The sequence below is a fragment of the Homo sapiens genome, chromosome 3 (assembly GCF_000001405.40).
Source record: "Homo sapiens chromosome 3, GRCh38.p14 Primary Assembly".
Taxonomy (NCBI): Eukaryota; Metazoa; Chordata; class Mammalia; order Primates; family Hominidae; genus Homo; species Homo sapiens.
This window is the reverse complement of record NC_000003.12, coordinates 105746717-105770649: the sequence shown is the minus strand read 5'-3', so window position 1 is coordinate 105770649 and position 23933 is coordinate 105746717. Positions and strand designations below refer to the sequence as shown.

General features: G+C 37.3%; 1 protein-coding gene across 44 annotated transcripts in view; it reads left to right on the top strand.

The window, feature by feature from the left end:
* The window catches only part of CBLB (Cbl proto-oncogene B), a 213989-nt gene that overhangs the window by 98800 nt on the left and 91256 nt on the right, over positions 1-23933 (top strand). For 35 of the 44 annotated variants that reach the window (NR_135810.2, NR_135811.2, NR_135808.2 and 32 more), the window contains one exon: positions 19032-19188. The exons of 3 other annotated variants lie outside the window; for them this stretch is intronic. Coding sequence is in view for 26 of the 41 variants with exons in the window: in XM_011513257.2 (XP_011511559.1) it covers positions 19032-19188 (157 nt within the window). In the remaining 15 variants the exon portion in view is untranslated. Of the gene's footprint in view, positions 1-16175; positions 16308-19031; positions 19189-20850; positions 21029-23933 lie in introns of those variants that run through there. 6 more of the 44 variants (NM_001321808.2, NM_001321820.2, NM_001321807.2 and 3 more) reach the window with 3 other exon arrangements.

Here is a 23933-nt window from a genome sequence, read left to right as displayed (position 1 = left end):
TGCTCCTGTCTGCAGCACACTTCCCACTTGCCGCAACTCCTCCCTCCCCATTCTGTTCAAGGGAATTTGTTCCACTCGAGATTATATTACAAAATTCAGTTGGGAGGTTCTTTCACCCTGTGTCCTTTCCCTGAGCTCATTGGCTGACTTCCAGAGGGTCCCTGTGAGATATATTCAGGAATAGCTTCCCTGGGTTCATGCTGGAGATTGGGAAGTCCTGCTGCGGCTCCTACTTTTTTATTTCCCTAAATCTGTTCCAGCTATTGGAAGGGTGAAGGGCTTCTCCAGTGGCCTGGATTTTCAGATTCCCTGGTGGGGATGTGTACTTGGAGGCAGACTCTTCCCCTCTCGCACTCTGAGGACTTAGGAGTTTTTCACCTGTCTCACGTAGTAGGCTATAGCCTCCCAATTCTTTCACAGGGTCTGTGGATTCTGTTTTCCTAAGTTCCTGTGTTGGTTCTTTGGGAAAAAATTCACACTGAATCTCTGCACATTATTCTGTCCTTCCAAGTGGGAGAAGCATGCTGACACTGCCTCCAGTCTGCCATCTTGAAAAAAAAAAAAAAACAAAAATTAGCATTGAGAAGATTTAGACATAAATTTCCAAACAAATTATAATTCAATTAGAAACACAGATTCTAACTCTTGAATCTTCTTACATAGCCTCTCCTCTCCATACATAAAATTCTCTTCTTCAAATTTAAATTCATGCTCTGCATTACCCCAACAACCTTCTGATTAGTCTCCCTATCTCCAATAACAACCTATCCTATTGTTCTTAGGGGACCAGTGAGCTGTCTAAAAAGCAGAGCTAATCATTCCAGTCTTTCGCTTGAAGTGTTTGCATGAATATTAATTCTAGGTTAAAGTCTAAAATCACATTAAACATCACAAGCTTTAGAAACTTTTTCGCTGGCTTCTTTTTTTCTACTTATCATTTCGGTATACTTAACTCATCTGCAAAGAAACAACTCAATACTGTTCATATTTCCCAATGTGTGTCTCATTTTTTACTCCTCATTGTCTTTGTTTTCGTATGTTGCATTCACTGCTTGGATAGGCAGTCACCCATGCTCTATCCAGTGTTGCCACTTTGAAAGCTTTACTTTAGTACCCTAATGGATATCCCTACTCTGTGCTGCCAGGTACCTGAGCTCACATCTGTCAAAATATATTACAGTGAACTGCTGACATGCCCCCATTTCTCAATTGAGAGGTTTCCAATAGACTGGAAAGTTTATTTGGAAGCAGAGACTGCATCTTACTTATTTTTGTGTTTTTGAGCCTGACACGTTTCCTGGAATGTTTAGGCAATAATAATTTTTTTTTTTTAGGTGGAGTTTTGCTCTTGTTGCCCAGGCTAGAGTGCAATGGCGCCATCTCGGCTCACTGCAACCTCTGCCTCCTGGGTTCAAGCGATTCTCCCTCCTCAGCCTCCCAAGTAGCTGGGATTACAGGCATGCACCACCACGCCCGGCAATGTTTTTTTTGTATGTTTAGTAGACGTGGAGTTTCTCCATGTTGGCCAGGCTGGTCTCAAACTCCTGACCTCAGGTGATCCACCTGTCTCAGCCTCCCAAAGTGCTGGGATTATAGGCATGAGCCATCACGCCCGGCGGCAATAATTGTTAACAGACTACATGAATAATTGCATAGATGGACGATGTCTATCCTCTACTCTCAATTTCCAATGACTTCATTATATATAAATTGATCTCTTTTTAAATGATCAGTTCCTACATTTCTATTCCTTAGATGCCTCTCTTCCCTCTTTCTTTTCATCTGTCTCAGAATTTTGACACCTTTCTTTAAGTTCAGTTCATAAGTCCACTTTTCTGAGTTTTTCTCATTCATATACACCCTTCTACGTGATCTATGTTAATTACTCTATACTTTGGTTGCTGTTGTATTTTAGACACATTTATATTGTAAAATGTGTTTACTATGTAGGTCTTTCTTGCTTGATTGCAAGAGTCTTCAATGACTTTCTATGCAAAAGTTGGTGAAAACAGACACATTTATTAGAGTTATTGTATGTCAGATTTTGTGTTCAGTGCTTTCACATATGCTAGCCTCATTTTCAATATAATCTTTAAACTACTTTGTAAATGGTTGTTGAATGAGTCTTTTACGTACCATATACATTGTAGACATTTAGTAGTTATTAGTTGAATGTATGAGTATAGGATGCAACTTTTCTGCCATTTAAGCTCTCTCTTCCTTTACTTATGTTCTGTTCTTCAGTCAAATTGGCTTATTTGGCTCTTTCTGGACACATCAGCAATTATAGGTTTCTATGTCTTTGCTTATATTGCTCCTTCTACTTGAAGATTTTTATAATCTCTGGCATAACAATTCTTACTAATCCCTCAAAGATAATATTGCTCATAATTTTTCCCATTAGTGTTATTACTAGATCTCTTCTTAAACTTCGCTAAGCTCTGGCTTATCTTCTGCATTTACTATTTTTATGGTTTTATTACAAGTATTTGTCTAGTTGTCATACTTCCCCCTAGACTATATGCTCCATGAAATCAAGCTTATTTATTCATCTTTGTATTTCTAAAGTAGCTCAGCACAATGTTTTATATACAGGCTTTCAGGAACCATTGTACATTTAATTCAGATGAGTTGAGAAGTAGAGGAATGTGCATTAGCATGTGTATGTGTGAGATGGAGCCTGCTTGCTTGATTGATTGGGAGACAGCATACTTAGGGTTTGGCATGCAGGCTCTGCAGCCAGATTATCTGTCCCTGGACAGGTTCTGACTGCAACATTTACTCACTTTGTGACTTTGGGGAATCTAGTTGGTTTTTCTATGCATCTTTTTCCTCATTTATAAAATGTAGATGATACTAATAATACCTACCATCAATGGTTGTTATGACGGCTTAAAATAGCTAAACCTTACCTGTAAGGCACATAAAACTGTGTCTAGCATATAATAAATATTCTATTTTGTGGAATAATTAACCAATTGAAACCTTTAAAAGTGGTCCAAATTCTCTAAATAATGTAATTTACATTTGACTTTGTATGATGGAAGTTTCATACTCTGTAGCAATCTAAAAGCAAAAAAAAAAAAAGAAAGAAAAAGAAAAATTTTAAAAATTATTTTATGTGTATCCCGAGATGAAGGTAGAATTGAAAATAAGAAACTGTCTTGGTTACCACAGGGGGAAAATGGTTTATTTATAGCTCAATTTATTGCCTCTATGATTGATTTCCTGCAAAAGCAATAAGGGCCTTCTTTGGTTTCCCGTATTTTCCTTTCACTTTTAATATGAAAGAAAGGAAAATACTTTCTTTACCTTTCCAGCGAGTGAGATATATATTCTTCTAGCATATTAACTAGCTCAGTTTTCCCTCTAGGTAAAGAAAACACAACCTAATTATATTAAATTAAAAGAAGTGGTACACAGTAGAAATTAAGAGTTTTTACAATGAAAATTTTTAGCAGATACTCTAAAGAGAAAGAAAAAAGAACTAAAGTAGGATTCAAAGAATCACTAGTTAATATTTCTACTAGTTAGCTACCTCCCTTTGTTGCCTGTTAAAAAAAATTTCAGGTATCTTTATGTCAATAAGGAAAATAAAAACTTACATATCTATTGGAGGCCTATTTTGTTCAATTCATTGTAACAAGATACAAAACAACTAAGATGCCAATTGTAATTTTCTACCTGTAAGCAATATTCAGTTTGGGGAAGACAGGATATAAAAAGAAGATAAATACTTAAAATCAGCTCTGTACCATTAGAAAATCACATAAAGAATATCACAAATAATAAATTAATTTACTAGTACATGCATACCTCAGAGATATTGTGGGTTTAGTTTGGGACCACTGCAATAAAGTACATCGCAATGAAGTGCATATTGCAATAAAGCAAGTCACTTAGATTATTTTTGTCTTCCTAGTGAATATAGAAGTTGTATTTATACTATACTGTAGTCTGTTAGGTGTGCAGTAGCATTATGTCTAAAAAAATATATGTACCTTAACTAAAAAAGAATTGCTAAAAAATGCTAACAATCAGCTGAGCCTTCAGTGAGTTGTAATCTTTTAGCTGCTGGAGAGTTGTGCCTCGATGTTCATGGCTATTGACTGATCATATGCTGAAAGTTAAGGTGGCTGTGGCAATTTCTTAAAATTAGGCAGCAGTGAAGTTTACTACATCAATTGGTTCTTCCTTTCATGTAATATTTATCTATAACATGCAATGCTGTTTGATAATATTTTACTCACAATAGAGTTTCATTCAAAATTGGAGTCAGTCCTCTCAAACCCTGCCACTGCTTTATCAACCAAGTGTCTGCAATATTCTAAATCCTTTATTGTAATATCAGCAGTGTTCACAGCATCTTCACCTGGAGTAAATTACATTTAAGAAAGCACTTTTTTGCTTTTCTATAAGAAGCAGTTTTCGTCTGTTCAAATTTTATGAGATTTGCATCAATTTAGCCACATATTTAGGTTCTACTTCTAATTCTAGTTCTCTAGCAAATTCTACATCTACAGTTACTTCTTCCACTGAAGTCTTGAAATCCTCAGAGTCATCCATGAGATTTGGAATTCACTGTTTCCAAACTCCTGTTAATGTTGATATTTTGACCTCCTCCCTTGAATCATAAATGTTCTTAGTGGCATTAGAAAGGTGAATCCTTTCCACGAGGTTTTGAATTTTCTTTGCCCAGAGCTATCACAATATATGACAGCTATAGCCGTAGGAAATGTATTTCTTAAATAATAAGACTTGAAAGTCAAAATGGCTCCTTGATTCATGGGCTGCAGAATGAGTACTGTGTTAGAAGACATGAAAACAACATTAATCTCCTCGTACATCTCCATCAAATCTTTTGGGTGATCAGGGGCATTGCCAATGAGCAGTACTATTTTGAAAGGAATTGTTTTCTCTACACAGCATATCTCAACAGTAGGCTTAAAATATTCAGTAATCCAGGTTTTTTGTTCCATTTGTAGAGCACAGGAAGAGTAGATTTAGCGTAATTCTTAAAGGACCTAGGATTTTTGGAATGGTGAATGAACATTGTGTTCAACTTAAAGTCATCACTTTTATTGGCCACTAACAAGAGTCAGCCTGTCCTTTGAAGCTTTTTGTTTTTTTAAATAAAGAACAGAAATTTATTTCTCATAGTTCTGAAGGCTAGGAAGTCCAAGATCAAGGTGCTGACAAATTGTCTGGTAAGGACCCACTTCCTAATTTACAGATGGCCAAACATCTTTTTGCAATATCCTCACATGGTAGAAAGAGTGAGCAACTATCAGGGGGCTTTTGTTTTTTCTTTTTCAACCTTTATTTTGGAGGTTATTTAGGGGGTACATATGCAAGTAATTGCATATTGCATGATGCTGAGGTTTGGGGTATGATTGAACCCATCATGTAGCTTTGAAGCTAGGTATTGACTTCTCCCTAGCCCTAGCATTTTCTAGATAGCATTTTCTTTCATCTTAAGGCTGTTTCATCTACATTAATTATCTGTTGTTTTGTGTAGCCACATTCATCAATGATCTTAGCTAGATCTTCTGTATAACTTGTTGCTTCTACATCAGCACTTGGTGCTTCACCTTGCACTTTTATGTTAGAGAGAGCTTCTTTTCTTAAACCCCATAAACAAATTTCTGCTAGTTTCAAACTTTACTTCTGAAGCTTCCTGAATTCTCTTACCCTTCACAGAATTGAAGCGAGTTGGGGCCTTGTTTTGGATTCGGCTTTGGCCTAACAGAATATTGTGGCTAGTTTGATCTAACCAAACCACCAAAACTTTCTCCATATCACCAGTAAGGCTGTTTTGCTTTCTTATCATTCATGTGTTCACTGAAGTAGCATTTCTAATTTCCTTCATGAACTTCTCCTTTCCATTCACAACTTGCCTAACTGTTTGGTGCAAGAGGCCTCACTTTTGTCCTATGTCAGATTTAGACATGCCTTTCTCACTAAACTTAATCATGTCCATAATTAGAGACTTGTGACTATTCCTTTCACTTGAGCACTTGAGGTCATTTTAGGGTTACTATTTGGCCTAATTTCAGTGTTGTTGTGTCTTAGGGAATAGAAAGTCCCCAGGAGAGGGAGAGAGAAAAGAGAACAGTGTTGGTGGAGCAGTGAGAACATATACCATTAAGTTTGCTGTCTTACATGGGCATGGTTCATAGTGCCCAAAAACTATTTGTTTCACACAAAAAATACTGTTTTGAAACTGAAAAACTGGGAATGATGGCAACAATAGATATGAATTGTGATATGACAGCAATTGGCTAGACCTGTGTGCCAGCTGTTTTTCTTAGATAATCTCTCTTCTAATTCATCACAATCCTTTCCTGGACATCTTTACTAATTTATATTATATACCTGGTCCCCAGATATTTGATTTTTTAATATCTGAAAGCTATTTGGAACCACTGGACTAATAGTGTGTGCCCCTGGATTTATAGAGGTCCTGGTCTTAATCCTCTAAACATTTGTTCTCTTCTCTGCTGGATGTGTCTACTTGGGTCAATAAAGAGAGAGAAGGTCTCCTTCTAGAGCAAGGATCTTAAAGCCTTGTAAAATAGAGGTAGTATTTCTCCCTGGGTCAAAGGATATGCATTATCCATTACAAAATATTTGGGTTCCTTAAGTTCTAGGTTCTACTCCAGAATCAAACCCACAGTGTATGCAGATGTCACCTGGCCCTCTTTGCATCTTTTAGGAGAATTTGTGTTTAGGGAACAAGGGCAAGAAAATGCTGGTACTCTAGCCACTGCTCTTGCTGTGAGTAACAAAGTCCTTTGACTCTGACCCAGTCCTTTGACAGAAACCCAGTATCTTCTGCCACTATACATGAAACTGTGATAGGCCAACTTCTTAGCTTGCAAGAAGAGTAGAATCTCATTCTTTGGTTTTTTAGGATCATGTTCTGCTGGTAGAGAAAGTGTGACTTAATAGCAAAGTAAATAAAACTTACTTATATTAGTCTGTTCTCATGCTGCTGATAAAGACCTACCTGAGACTAATTTATAAAGAAAAAGAAGTTTAATGCACTCACAGTTCCACATGACTAGGGAGACCTCACAATCGTGGTGGAAGGCGAAAGGCACTTCTTACGTGGCAGCAGATGAGAGAAAATGAGAGCCAATGTGAGATTTATTCACTACCACAAGAATAGTTTGTGGGAAACCACTCCCATGATTCAAATACCTCCTATTAGGTCCTTTCTACAACATGTGGGAATTATGGGAGCTAACAATTCAAGATGAAATTTGGGTGGGGACACAGCCAAACGATGTCATTCTGCCACTGGCCCCTCCCATATCTCATGTCCTCACATTCCAAGACACAATCATGCCTTCGCAACAATCCCCCAAAGTCTTAACTCATTCCAGCATTAACTCAAAAGTCCACAGTCCAGAGTCTTATCTGAGATAACAAGAGTCTCTTGCACTTATGAGCCAGTAAAATCAAAAGCAAGTTAGTTACTTCCTAGGTACAATGGGGATACAGGCACTGGGAAATACAGCCATTCTGAATGGGAGAAATTGGCCAAAACAAAGGGTCTACAGGCCCCACACAAGTCCGAAATCCAGCGGGCCAGTCAAACCTTAAAGCTCCAAAATGATTTCCTTTGACTCCGTGTCTCACGTCCAGGGCACGCTGTTGTAAGAGGTGGGCTCTCATGCTCTTGGGCAGCTCCACCCCGTGGCTTCGCAGGGTACAGTTTCCCTCTTGGTTGCTTTCATGGGCTGATGTTGAGTGTCTGGCTTTTCCAGGTGCATGGTGCAAAATGTTGGTAGATCTACTATTCTGGGGTCTGGAGGACGGTGGCCCTCTTCTTACAGCTCCACTAGTCAGTGCCCCAGTGGAGACTCTGTGTGGGGGCTTCAGCCCCACATTTCCCTCCCACACTGCTCTAGCAGAGGTAGGGCTCTGCCCCTGCAGCAGATGTCTACCTCCACAAGAGCCCTGCCCCTGCAGCAAACTTCTACCTGGATGTCCAAGCATTTCCATACATCTTCTGAAATCTAGGCAGAGATTCCTATACCTTAACTTCTTGACTTCTGTGCACCTGCAGGCTCAAACACCATGTGGAAGCTGCCAAGGCTTGAGGCTTGCACCCTCTGAAATAAAAGCTTGAGTTCAACATTGGCCCCTTATAGCCATGGCTGGGATGCAGGGCACCAAGTCCTGAGACTGCACAAAGCAGCAAGGCCTTGGGTACAGCCAATGAAACCATTTTTTCTTCCTAGGCCTCCAGGCCTGTGATGAGAGAAGCTGCCGTGAAGACCTCTGACATGCCCTGGAGACATTTTCCTCATTGTCTTGGTGATTAACATTTGGCTCCTCCTTACTTATACAAATTTCTGCAGCCAGCTTGAGGTTCTTCTCAGAGAATGTGTTTTTCTTTTTTATCACATTGTCAGGCTGCAAATTTTCTGAACTTTAATGCTCCGCTTCTTCTTGAAACATAAGTTCCAATTCCATATCATATCTTTGTGAATGAATAAAACTTAATGCTTTTAACAGTACCCAAGTCACCTCTTGAACGCTTTGCTGCTTAGAAGTTTCTTCTGCCAGATGCCCTAAATTATCTCTCTGAAGTTAAAAGTTACACAGATCTCTAGGGTGGGGCAAAATGCTGCCAGTCTCTTTGCTAAAACATAGCAAGAGTCACCTTTACTTCAGTTCCCAACAAGTTCCCCATCTCCATCTCAGTCCACCTTAACCTGCACTTCATTGTCCATATCACTATCAGCATTTTCGTCAAAACCATTCAACAAGTGTCTAGGAAGTTCCAAACTTTCCCACATCTTCCTCTCTTCTTCTGAGCCCTCCAAACTGTTCCAACCTCTCCCTGTTATCCAGTTCCAAAGTTGCTTCCACAGTTTTTGGGTATCTTTACAGCAGCACCCCACTCTACTGGCACCAATTTACTGTATTAGTACATTTTCATGTTGCTGAAAAAGACATACTCAAAATTGGGTAATTTATAAAGAAAAAGAGGTTTAATGGGCTCACAGTTCCATGTGGCTGGGGAGACCTCACAATCATGGCAGAAGATAAAAGGCACATCTTACATGGCAGCAGAGAAGAGAAAATATGAGAGCTAAGCAAAAAGGGAAACCCCTATAAAACCCTCAGATCTCATGTGGCTTATTTACTACCACAAGAATAGAATGTCGGAAACTGCCCCCATGATTCAGTTATCTCCCACCTGGTCCCTCCCACAACATGTGGGAACTATGGGAGCTACAATTCAAGATGAGATTTGGGTGGGGAAACAGCCAAACCATATCATTATTAAAATCAGTGTTTAGGGGGTGGGTGCAGTGGCTCATGCCTGTAATCCCAGTATTTTGGGAGGCCAAGGCAGGTGGATCACTTGAGTCCAGAAGTTCGAGACCAGCCTGGCAACATGGCATAACTCTGTCTCTACAAAAAATACAAAAATTAGCTAGGCATGGTGGCGCACACTTTAATCCCAGCTACTTAACGAGGCTGAGGCACCAGAATCACTTGAGCCTGGGAGGTCGAGGTTGCAGTGAGCCAAGATCATGCTACTGCACTCCAGCCTGGGTGACAGAATGAGACCCTGCCACAAAACAAAATGAAATGAAAAACAAAAACAACAACAATAAAGTCAGTGTGTAGGTATTTACATTTCGGTAATAGACTGCTAATGATTGATCTTTCTATTCTTCCTTATTTTAAATGTTGGTTATTAATAGGAAATGCAGTAGTTGTTTTTCTTGTATAGATTTGTTTTTGTTTTGTTAATCTTTAATAACAAAGGAGTTATTTAAAATATCAGTAGTTTTATTAAAAGGACTTTTTGATGGATTTAATTATGCACAACAATATATGCAGAGTTTTTTCTTTCAGGGTTTTAGAAATGTTATCAGAAGCTCTTTATTTTTTGCCTCAGTTTATCTTATACATCTAGGAGACTTCACTCATTGGTTGTTAATTTAATTGGCTCATGTTGAGAGACTTACAAGGAACTTTGTTTTATTATTGACTTTTTTTTTTGTTTGTAATTCTGAGCTCTCATTGCTAAAGGGAGGATCATTTTAAAGCCTTACTTAAACCTCTCTTTGGTAGCACTTTCTAGAGTATGAAATTTTTTTATTTTATTTAATCTGATTTCAGCATATCAAAGGTATCTTGCATAACCCATGAGCTGCTGTATCTCATGAATTTATCCTGTATTGGTGAACTTTCAGAGAATATATACTGAAGAACAGTTGTACTTTAGAAAGAAAAGAACAAGTATTCATTGTTTAAAACCTGAATCTTTCTATTTTTTACAGTCAGTGGCTTCTAAGTGGAAAAATTTTTAATGGAATTTTTACACATTATTATGGATTATACTTGCAGCTTCTCTTCCTGTTCCTTTCCACTAATGAACTTTATTTTCTAAGTTGGAAAATAAATAGAATTATGTACAAATAATTTTATGACTATAGCAAATTTATTGTTTATTATGTTCCAAGGTTAGGATGTGAGACCAGAAGTTAGAAAGCATTAAATCTATCATGTGAACAAAATAATTGAGAAGATTAGAAATAATACTAAAGACACTATTTCCTGTGTTCCTGCAATCTTATAAAAATATGATTATAGATTTAGGCTGCAGAATATGAATATGTGAAAGATACTTGTCCACTATACAGAGAAGTAATGATGGCCCCAGCTGCCCATCTGGAGTGGCTGCTGCAAAGATGCTGCAGTAGGGGAGGCATGGCCAGGGCTGTGTGCTCTATGGAGCAGGTGGGATCTGGGAACAGGCAGGAGCCCCACCCTCTTCCGAGTTGGTGGGGTTGGAGCCCCATGCTTCCAGGAGCAGCTGCAGCTATGGACCTGGGCATCCCTATACTCTTGGGGGCCCAGGAAGTCCCCCTACCCCAGCAGGCTTGGAAGTGCCTGCTCCTGCTGTCTGGCCTCACCCTGCTCACAGTGCCTGCTCTGGGATGGAGCAAAGCTGTGGCCAAGCCTGGGCACTGTTGTGACCTGGCTGGGTGTGCACACACTCAGGGTGGCGCTGACATGCCAGCCCCCTGCCACCGCATCCCTTTCCAGACTTTGGGACCAAGGAGCACTGGAGGGAGGCCGACGGGGTTGGGCTGAGGGTAGCTCCGCATGGGCCTGCAGGTGACCCTCCACAGAAACAGCCTGTAGATGACATGATTGGTGGCAGCAGGAGGCAGACAGGCTCATGGGTGGAAAGGGGCAGGTCCCCATTGAAGCCCTACCTTCAAGACAGGGACAGCCTACAGCCTCAGGGCCGGGCTGTCAGTTCCTGGTGGAGTTCACAGTGGGAGTGAAAACTTATGGAGCTTTTTCTGGGCCTGCCCTTGGACCAGTCAGCACACACTTCCTTCCTTCTGAGCCCATGAAAAACTCCAGACCCAGCCAGACTCACACAGACATCAGACTACCAGCTACAGGAAGAAGCTACCCAATTTGAGTCTCTTTGACTCCTTGGGATGATCTGCCTGCAGAAAGGAGCTACCCACTCTGGGTTTCCTGAGTGCTGTTCTGCTGCTCAGTAAAGCTCCTTTCTGCCTTCCCACCCTCCAGTTGTTTGTATACCTCATTCTTCCTGGACACGGGACAAGAACTCAGGGCCTGCCAAATGGCAGGACTGAAAAAACAGTAACACAAACAGGGCTGAAATGTGCCCACCCTCCACCCCCTTCACGCCCCACATTGTGGGCAATGAGAAGGAGAGAAGAGCTGTGGCCCTTTGGGGAGCCCACACCTACAGGCTCCCTGAGCTAGGCTGTGAAGCCCCATTTGGGAGACTGCAGTTTCTGGAGTCTCCAAGCTTTTGGGTGCCACTGGTTCCCCTCCTCCAGACACAGGTGCCCACAGTGGAAGCCACTTGCTGTGCATCAGATCCAGCCACTGGCTTGCCCAGAGCCGGTGCCTGTGCTGGTGCCTGGAGCTGCCCGCCCTGCTACAGCAGCCAGTGTGCTTGGCTGTGCGCAGTGGCTGGACTCCATGCTCACTTGTTCATGCACCACTTGCTGCTCCGCATCTGACTCGTCCTTGGCAGGTGTGGGATCTGTGCTGGTAGTGCATGGTGAGCGTGGCCCGCCAGGTTGAGTCAGTGGAATGAGCCCAGCAGGCCTGAGCAAAACTCGGGTAATGGCGCAACCAATCACAGAGGTTTCTGGCTGGAAAAGTGACACACAAACAATAAGCGACAGTAGTGCTTATCTGCACTAGAGACAAAGTGTTATGAGCTTTTTGACAAATAAAAATTATGCAGCATAAATACCCAGCATCTGTGTCTTTATCGTGTCAGGAATTTTCATGTATAAGGAAGAGTGGTTCAATCTAATTATGAATATCCTTGGTAACTATGGTTGCCATCCTATCAAAGATGACTTGCTGTATGGTGACTATGTAACCAGAGTGTTTTGATATGCTGTTTCTGTGGGTTGCTGGAAAACAATTGCTTTTCCCTTATTGATAGAACAGCAAGAGTAATAATGGTCCCATAAGAATCTATCTTCATATTCTTAAAAAATGGAGTCATGATAAAAGAAGGTTGGATTTAAGGAATAACTGTATACAAAATGTCAACAGATTTAGGAATCACAGCGCTAATATTTTGTGTCCATAATGTAATCAAAACATATCAAATATGTTACAAATATCCTATTATCTTCTGAACAAAGCTTGCCCTCTGTTTAAAGATACTGACATTGAACATATCTTAGTTGATCAAGGTGAATTTTCTGACAACATTTACATAAAATTAGAAATAGAGTTGGGCTGCTGAATATAGAACATATTTTCTTTTTGTTTAAAATGAGGATGACAGTATATATTCCTGAGCTACAATGGATCTTAAACACCTGCCACCACTAATACCACAGCAACAAAACAAACCAACAATAAACAAACATGTTGATTTCCTTGTTTGTATTATGGTAGTTACTTTGTTCATTCCCATGTATCTGATTTTTAGTCTTAGATTTTTAGTGTAATATTTTTTAAAATTTAAATATATGATTGAAGTTTAATGTACATGGGGAAAAGTACACAAATCATACATATAGAGTGAGAAATTTTTATGAAGTAAACATAATCCATGTTTACAGTATGTATCCATGTTTATCTCCTACCCAGATAAAGTAGTAATACCTTGCTGCCTGCATCTTGGAAGACGCCCTCTCTCAGCGCGTCAGAAAGTCGCACATAGTCACCACCCAGTAGTTCTGATACATGCCATCATAAATCATACATAGTTGAAATCATACTAATTATACTCTTTTGGAAAAAACTGGCTTCTTCCTCTCTTTATGTTTATGGAATTCAACTCTTTACTTGCATGTAGCAGTACTTTGTTCATTCTCCTTCCTTCATTGTATAGCTGTACCACAATTAACCTATTCATTTGATTATTTATTTATAAATTACCCAGTCTCAGGTATTTCTTTATAGCACTGCTAAAACAACCTAACACAGAAACTGGATATATAACATCAAGGAGAAGAGGTTTATTGGGCCCTTGGTTATGCAGGCTGTACAGGCATGGTATTAGCATCTGCTTGGCTTCCAGGCAGGCCTCAGAGAGCTTTTGCTCATGGCAGAAGGTGAAACAGAGCCTGCATGTCACATGTGGTGAGAGCAGGAGCAAGAGAGAGCAAGGGGAGGTGCCGTGCACTTAAACAACCAGATCTTGTAAGAACTCATTGTCGTCAGGATGGCACCAAGGAGATGGTGCTAAACCATTCATTGGAAATATGCTCCCATGATCCGATCACCTCCCACTGGGCTCTACCTCCAAAATTGAGGATTACAGTTCAATATGAGGTTTGGGGGGAACAAATACCCAAACTCTATCATCCAGTGTTTATATATGGGTACATAAGTTTCTAAAATTTTAGTTTTGTTCCATCTATTTGTTTATGCTTGTACCAATGCCACATTGTCTTAATTAATGTAAAGAGTACATACTTGTTAATGTTCCTAGTGAAGATTACCTTTTTTGTTCTTGACTCTTGCATGTCCCATAAAGTTCAGAACCAGTTTTTAGTATCTACTACAAAAAATACCTCCTGGGATTGTTTATTTGAGTTACATTAAATTTTTAGACTAATTTGGGAAGAACTGACTCTTTATAATATGAATCTACCATTAAAGTGTTACATACCTTTATTTATGTTTTTTATATCTCTGTGTATGGGTGTATGTTGATATTTTTGCCTTGCTCATCTATTGTTAGCTTTATTTCTATTTATTTGGGACTTTTAGATAGCATTATAAAAATTAAATGTTTAAAGTTTCATTTTCTAGTTATATATAGCCAATATAAAACTACAACTGATATTTTATATCAATTTTGTGTTCAGCAACCATGTTCAATTTTCTTATTTCCTATAGTTTAATCTGTAAAATTTTTGTATTTTCTACATATAAAGCTATGTCATAAGCAGACACTGCTTTGTGGTTTTCATTGATTCTTCTACGATTATATACATTTAAAAGTTTTAGTACATCTTCTATTCTTTTAGTACACTAGAGCATATTAGACATATAAAAAGTTAAAAACCATGAACAAATACAGAAAATATATTTTTGAAATCACTTATAATCCCTTCCACAAGCCAGTTATTAAATTTGTGGCATCTCCAGACATTATAGTTTAACATTGGATCATAAAGGACAAAATTTTAAAAATACTATTTCCATTTAGTAGTATCCCATGAACACTTTTCCACGACAATAAATATTTTTCTGCACAAAATTGTTACTAGTGAACGTATTTGTTTTCAAATATTTTGCTCTTATAAACAACACTGCATATAAAAGACTTGTGGATGGGCCTTTGGCTGCTATGTATTTTTTGGACATAATTTCCTTAGGTGAAATCCCTAGAAGTAGATGTTCTTAGTCATAATGTATAGGCTTTTGAAATTTGTTTCCAAATTGCCTTCTAGAAGTGCTGTGTAAATTCTCATTCACACCAGTAGTATACAGAAGTTCCTGTTTGCAAACACCCTGGCTTCTGTTGATGTTCACCCTTTGTTGTATGAAATGTTTTTCATTTTTTCCTATCAGTTGAAACTAAAACCCTGTAGCCTTTTATGAACTAGTGGTTTCATGAAAATATTTTACCTTTTTTTTTTTAAAAGAAATCATTCTCCTCACACTTTCTATTTTCCATTCTTCTTACCTTTTCTTAAAATTGCAGGATTTTCAAATTAGAATATCTAATACACTTCTCCACATTTACACAGGAGAAAACAAGCCTGGAAGATTAAGTGATTTGTCAACTACTGACCAGCTGACACCTTTCCAGATTTATTTCCCTGCATCTGATTAATCCCATTGTCTTTGAAAAGATACTGTTTTTCCACCGCATATTCTCACTCATAGGTGGGAATTGAACAATGAGATCACATGGACACAGGAAGGGGAATATCACACTCTGGGGACTGTGGTGGGGTCAGGGGAGGGGGGAGAGATAGCATTGGGAGATATACCTAATGCTAGATGACACATTAGTGGGTGCAGCGCACCAGCATGGCACATGTATACATATGTAACTAACCTGCACAATGTGCACATACATGTACCCTAAAACTTAGAGTATAATAAAAAAAAAAAAAAAAAAAAGAAAAGATACTGTTTTTCAAGACTTTAAAGAGGATTACTATTGTTTTTTGGTAGACAGACTAGAACTCATTATCTAATAACAGGATTATAACATAGTCTTATTTATCATGTTCTTATCTCTCATGATATTATATGAACAGAACTATCACTTTAACAAAAAGTCATTAATAGATTTCTGTGTAATAGATAGGTGGTAGTAAGCCATCAATAAATGGCAGTTCTTACTCTTATTTGAAATAAAAAGATCCTGAAATTATATTATTATTACAGGTGCATGGCTATCCATTGGTCATGTATTCTATTCTTTGTAGATTGACAGTTACTTATACTTGTTCACTGTATTTTAAAAGCGATTCAGCCTGCAACTTAAGTGGTTTATAATTGTAAGGGTCAATAGAATATATTGAAAGATTTTTGGATTAGTGAAAACTTGGAGTTTAGTTGGCCTTTTTATTTTCTCTCTCTCTCTCTCTCTCTCTCTCTCTCTCTCTCTGTCTCTCTCTCTCTCTCTCTCTCTCTCTCTTCCCTTTTCTTCTTCCCAGGTCTCTGCCAGCACCCTGAAATTTCTACATTTGTAAAACAATTTGCTATTGATATTTTCTCTCATTTGCTTCATCTCTAAAGGAAGAGGTAGTAGAAACCACCACTGTCTTTTTGCAGAAGTTTAAATGGAGGTGTGAAAATTCATGCTTTCTGGGTTCACTTCCTCTCATATACCTCAGAGAAGAATGGTAGCCACTTAGTCTTAAGAAAGTTTAGAGCCTTAGTGCAACAGTTTAGAATAATCTAATTTTTTTGTTTGTTTTTAAAGACTTTGTTGTTGTACTCTATTTCTATTCTTCATTCTTGAAATCCCCTTCCCCCTACCTCTGTTCCCCAGCCCCACCTCCTACACAATAATGGGTGTTTTGCTGAAGTGATCAAATGAGGGTTATCTGTTGCGCAAACACTCATATATGAAAAGTTAACAAAATAGTGCCCTGGCTCCCTAATCCCTATTACTACCACTAATTAAGATTCCAGTGAATGCCTCTTTGGATTTGAGGTTTATCACAAGTAATCTGACAAAGTTTCATTTACACAAGTACTGTGGAAATGTAGCTTGTCCTTTTGTAAATTGTTATTATGAAGGGGTACATTAGACTAAAATTTTCTTAAGTTCATACATCTCGTATAACTGGCTCTGGGAAATCACTGAGTGCTCAAAAGAGTTATGAATTGAATTCACTGTAAATGCTAGATTAGAATAATTTTTATAGTAACAGATGTGGAAGATGTCTATTTGGCCTTTTTAAAAAAACTTTATATGTTATACACAAAATAAATATTGACAATTTGACCACTTTACGTTGTATACTTTATATACGAAACAAAAATGCTTTAACTTCTTCATACGAAAAATAAAATTTATACTGTTCTGAAGTCAGTGGTTCCCTGATCATATTTTTTTTACTCTGAGTATCATGATCAATGTCCCTTTTGTGTGTTGAGTATTTGAAACTTTAATTTGGAAAAGAAAAATGTACTTCTTAGACATTAGTTTTATGGTAATTATAATGAAGCTGGACATAATTGCATATTTATACTTCATTGTAAATCAACAGCTTCCTAATATTCTTAAAAGTGTTCCTTTTTTTTTTAAAAAAAACAGCAGCATTTTGTTAACCTTAATCAGAGCCTGACGTGTGTTTCTTCTAAATGGCATCTGATGTGGTATCTCTCCTCAGTTCTCTGTGGTTTCCTGTTTTTTTCATACATAGAGAAACACTTTTTGAGGTATTAAGCCTCATATTTTTCTTCTTTTAATGGTACCTGAAACCTAAACTCTCTTATAAATACAGCATAGTGTTGTCAACCTGTCTCACCATTAATTTATGCCACTTCCCACAGACTGCTTCTCTGGAATCCCTCCAGCCCTTGCTGTGTATCCATCACCCAGCTAGCATTGTCCTTACATACCCCACTCTAGATTCTTTAGCATTACAGGTTTTACTTCTGTCCCTAAAGTGTGATCTTCAGAGACAAAGATGTTATCTTTATTTCTATAATTGTATTTCCCCAACAGTGCCTTGTTTTAGCAATGAATAGATATAGTAGGCTCTCAAAGTGTTGTCTCTAGAGCAGCAGCAGCAGCAGCAGCCTCAGGGAACATTTTATGGCTGTCAGTGTTCAGGCCCCACCCCAATGCTACTGAATCATAATATCTTGGGTTGAGGATCAGGCTATGTTAACAAGCCCTTCAGATAATTTGGATGCATGCTGAAGTTTGACAAACACTGCTATAGAAAATTATTGAATGAATATGAAAGTTGTACCTTTATGGTGATATCTCATTGAAGAGGATTGATATAGCATGGGGCCAGGCACAATTTAGTTTATTCTGCCTGAGTCTTGTATTTCAGAGATACTGGTAAAGGAAACCTAAGATTTAAATATTTGCTATCTTATAAGAGGATGTTATCTTATAAGAGGGACGGCTTTTATGCTATTCTGTTGTAAAAATTGTAGTTTAAGTTTTAAAAACTGAATGATTTCTTTCTTCTGCCGAATTAGGAATAGGCATTATTCTGAAGCAGGAAGGTTAACTAAGAAATGCATCCTGGGTGTCACTAATTTTCATGGTGGGAAAGAGGGTAGGTGAGTTGGAAACTGGTCAGGTGGGGATAGGTTGAGAGACGTTTCCCTAGTTACCATTCTGTGCTCTTCTAAATTTTTTGAATCATGTAACTGCATAACATGTTAAAATTTTGTCGAATGATATTCAGTCAGAATAAAGTAATAAATATTGAATAAACTCCCATGATATAACCATTGTGGTTGGTTTAAAAATTAAGTTTTTCTTTTGTATTAATATGAAAAGTTAGATAACGTATGTTTTTCATCTCTGCAGAAAACATCAGGGTTGTGGCAGAAATGTCTTGATGGCTTTCTACCTTAGCCTTCTTGAATTGGTTGATACATATTACTCATTTGTGCAATGAATAAAGGATTTCTATTATTATATGGACCCATCATCTTATGACTGTTTTTAGAAAATGAGAATTAAATCTTGATTCATTATTAAATAACCTTGTATACACACATGAAGAGGTCATGACACATAAGACTTTGACCTAATACCTTTTTTCAGATATGTTTCTATAGCTATCTTGATAGCCTAGGACTGTTTGAGAGAAAATTAATTTAAATTTTTGTCATATTCTTAGCAAATGCAAAATAATTGAGTTAAACAGAACCCACTACATTTGTTCTGAAATATGAACAATATTCTCAAATATTTGTCTGGTAGTACAAATACAATTATATTAATTTTATTATTGAATTTTGCTGCTTCAAAGGGAGGTATTTCTTAAATGATACTTGATTCAATTATTTCCCTTTTTTTCCACCTTGCACAGAACTATCGTACCATGGAAAGTATTCAGACAGTGCCTTCATGAGGTCCACCAGATTAGCTCTGGCCTGGAAGCAATGGCTCTAAAATCAACAATTGATTTAACTTGCAATGATTACATTTCAGTTTTTGAATTTGATATTTTTACCAGGCTGTTTCAGGTAAGTTTATACTTGCTTAGTCTATCCATTCCCTTCTTCTCTCTCCCTGTCTTTTCTCTCTGTTTCTCTCTCTCTCTGTCTCTCTCTCACACACACACACATAAACAAACATATGGAAAATAGTGTCATTCCTATTAGTCTGTAATTTTATTGGTATGTTTGGTCATTGTTAAAAGTTTAGAGTGAGCCATTTGGCTTAAGTTTGGAGTTATCAGATGCTGTGAGCCTGGTGGCTGCTTGTTAGCTTTGAGAGGATCCATCCAAAAGAGCTTTGTTTTAAACTCTCTACTTAGTTTCTTACTTTATTTTGTTGATCTTTTAGCACAATGATGGATAGAATGCAACAACTGGAGGTGGGCATTTGCCACCTAGATCTAAAATCTTTCCCTTTGCCTTCTGTGTTTATTAGGTCAAAAGGGAAATAGTAAACTTAGAAATATCAGACTGTTCTGTATAGGACAGAACTGTGTCCTGTACTTATTTTGTAAATTGCTTTGCACATTCAACCATGTGTAATGAACATTTTTCAAAGTCAATAAATATTCTTCATCAGTTCCCTTGTCATATTCATTCAAAATAGTATGTCAGTATTAACAAAGCTCTCTTTTGAAAAATTTAGGTCTTTTCCCACATTTTCTCTAATGTAAACAACTTTAAGATGAACATTTTTGTTGTGCTTATTGTTTTTCCCTTTAAATTATCTTCCATAATTGTTTTCACATAGCAAATTAGAAGAAGGTAGCATTATATGGATACTATCATTTTCTTCTTTTGCGTGCCTTAATGGAATTATCTTAAACATGAAGACTTGAAATTTGTGTTTTGAGATTGACTCTGCCACTAAAATGTGTATCATCTGTGGGATTCAGTTCAAGTAGTCACAAAATAAAAATTTTCTGCTTAACATTTTTATGATTTGGTAACATAAATTATATAGTAAATGAGGTAAATTGATCAGACTGGGCTTACTTATGTTCTGATATTATTTTTTATCATTTTAATCTGAAGTAACATTGATTCTCTTTGAAACATGCTTTCAACAAATATCAGAGTATAATGTTGATTTCATGTTTTTCATGTTACATGAACTTCTCTGATTTATAATTCTGCTTGGCACTAGCTAGCAAGGATTGGATGACTGGTTTTTGTAATAAAAACCACAATGCACAGGATTAGCTTTTAATTTATGAAGGAACCCATTATTAGAAGAGAGATTAACTCCTGTCAACAGTACATATAGGATGTGAAACCCCGCCTCTACTAAAAATACAAAAAATTAGCTGGGCGTGGTGATGAGCACCTGTAGTCCCAGCTACTTGGGAGGCTGAGGCAGGAGAATGGTGTGAACCCGGGAGGCAGAGCTTGCAGTGAGCTGATATCGTGTCACTGCACTCCAGCCTGGGCAACAGAGCAAGACTCTGTCTCAAAAAAAAAAAAATACATATAGGATATATTTCACTTCATTACAATTACAGAATCATAATTCTACCTTCTATATAGGGTAAGCAATTACATAAATCACTGATGAAAGTGTGCTTTTGATTATTTTAAATTTTTTAAATTCGTGATTATTCCCTTGGTGTATGTATTACAGTTTGACAGTTTATGTTTTTTTCAAAGATTTTAAGATATATTTTAGAAAAAAAAGTTGTCTGATATTGGTCATTTTATAATGGAACCTCTCCTTTCTTTAAAGGTTTCTGATAATTTTACAGAATATCTTATTTATTTAACATGATACAAAGACATTCTAAATAGTAAGAGCTTTGCTTCTTCACCTTGTCAAGGAAGAGAGTAAAAGTAATCTTCCTACATTAAACCTAACTGCTCATTCTAGGAAGTGAGTATATTTTTTTGTGGTGAGCCTGGATGACTTTTTACTGTGGGTATTAAATGCTAGAATTCCTTGCAGTTATATATTGAAAGTATGAGGGCAACTTAATGTTGGTTAAACGATTACCTAAACTGCTATTTAGTATGTGGACATATTTTCTTATAAGCTGTTTTACTTTAAAACAGCACAAGTCAACCTTAATACTCTAAGGAATATATATCTTATTTACTTTCACTGGGATGGGAAAAGAAAGGGCTATTTTTAAGTCAAGCTACTGTGAAAAGTTTTATATCATAAAATGAAAATCTTACCTGGGCTAGGGAATGCCTAATCATTTTAAAAACATGATTACAGAAGCAGCTGAAGAACTCTTGTTAGCCCGTGTATTTCTGAGATTCATCATTCCATTTATTTCTATGCTGTAATCAAATGCTTTGAATATAATCGTATGTGTGCCTTAAAATATGATAAAATTGATTCTGTTTATAGAGAAGTAGATGGTTTAACTTTTGCTGATCTTTTATTTTTATAAAACTTTAAAAATTAAGTGATTTTCTTAAATGTATTATATTTATTAAATCCTTACATTTATATATTCTGTATGAAAATATGTTTTGCTAATACTGTGTGACTGCGGGAACATACATTCAGCTATAGCCATGATATTAGTAGTTAATTGGCAGTGACTTCTGACTAAATTATTGGGAGTGGGGTATTTAGCAGAAAGGGAACTGAAGGTGAGCAAGGTACACTTAGAATTTGGGGTCTGAAGTAGAGAAACTAGCAGAAGAAGGAGCCAGTGGGGGGGCAGGAGATGAAGTTGAGAATTGCAGAGGGAATGAAAGAAGTAAAAATGTTTGCTTCCTCTTGGCTTTCATTCTTATATGCAGGCAGAACCTGAACAAATACTTGGGAGTCACTGGAGGGATCTTACTGTGGTCACCTTCCTCATTTCCTCTTCTTCCTTCTTTCCTTCTCTTTATCCTTCTCTTTTCTCTCAAAGTCACTTAGAGATGCTGGAATCAGCACATGCTAATATTAGTCCTGGAAAGAAATTATAGGGATTTTGCTTCTCCCTTCCTTCTCCCTGGGGCTGTTGTTCCCCTTTTCCTCTATATCCCCACTGTTAGAAAAAATGGGGTCACTGAGAAATGGGGCACTACATTTGGGGGTAGCAGGATAAGGACGGAGTATTTTAGTAGAATATCCTATTGACTATGGAATGTGTAGCATCAATGGAATAGTGAGGAAAATCAAAGAAGAGGAAAGTCCTCAGTTGTAGTAAAGAATTATAGAGAGTGTCTAGGCAGACCAGCCAAGGACCCTCTTCCAACTTAAGTTGTAAGTCAGTAACTGGCTCTTCTTGAAAATAGTAGCATTTGGGAGAATGGAGGGACTTGTCTCCTTTATTCACTTCATTAATTTCTATAGTCATTTAAAAGTATCTAGATAATTTTATGTTCTTGTACACAAAAAAATTTCTTCAATCTGAAAAACAAAATAAAAAAAAGTTACTCTCCAAAGCACTTTGTTTTGCCTTTTTTAAGCCAGTAGTTGTCGAAATACTTTAAAAAGAAAAAGCACATAAGTACTACATGTTTCTGTTTTGAATGGGCTGCATACAAGGAAAACAATACACAGACTCATTCTATTACATAAATATTTTTGCAATTAGAAGCTGGCCCTCTGGATTATGTACTAAGAAATGGTTGCTGAATACTGTAGCAGTTGGCTCAAAACTCCAACTTAATTTTTTTACTTGTATTTTGATCTGTGCATTGGTGCTCTATAAAGTTTAGCATTTTTTTTCAAACACTCTTCCACTAATTTGTGTGGACTTTAATGGAAGTGACCCAAATATTTGTTTGGTATTTCTTTCATCCTTGTCCTTCATAGATGGGTAGAACAAAACAAAACAAAAACTAGGGTCTAGAATAACAGTTATTGCTCAGTTTTTTAAAATATATGCTGACATTTTCCAAGTAATGTTTAATGCAGTTTTTAGTCATGCATTAGGAAGAAAATTAAAAACATGCATTTTTTTCAACCTCTCATATTATTATTCTCTAGAGCGCCTTTCTTGCCCAATTAGGTATTTTAGTGTGATGGGGAAATACCCCAAAGATTTTTCTTGTTATGTTGAAAAAGGCTAAAAAACTTCATTATTACTAAATCATTCTTTGTTATCCTCATCTCAAGGGATATAATCCTTGCAGAATTCTGCCTTGTAAATTTGTAACTTGCTTAACAATAATGAGGAACAAGTCTCAAAACAAACAAAAGCAGGAACTTTCTACCAGTAATCATGTCTAGGATGACTGCTTTAACAGCTTTAACATGGCAACGTAAAAATACTTTTTTTTTCTTTTATGTAGAAGATTTAATAATCTGGCACATCAGATAGAGTATGCTGCCAGTTCCTTGGAATAAATGTAGCGTCAGCCTTAAAAAAATCGCAGAGATGATTCATCCACACCCTTGAGTAAAGTTGTCTATCACTGACTGCCTTTTTTCTCTTGCCCTGGTAACTGGAGAGACAACTAATCAGATTAAAGAGAGAATGATACAGTGGTACAAACCAAATACTTCTGTGAAAAGTTTTGTTTTTATGTAACTCACTTTTAAACCCTAAACCTTTCCTAAGCTTATAGTTCTGTACAGTTAAGCCAGATGTGACTACTGTAGTGTTAACACTAGCCTTTTACACAAGTCACTATTTAGAGGATCTATCTGTTCAATGACAATTATCCCTGGCTGATTACTATTATCTGACACTTGCATTGGTCCTGGCATCCCATGGGTGAGCAAGACAGGCATGTCCCTTGCCCTTATGTAGCTTATGGTTAATGTGTAACCTTTGCCAAGTCATGCAAGTTCTATGATATGGTTTCTTACTGTGTAAAATGAAGCA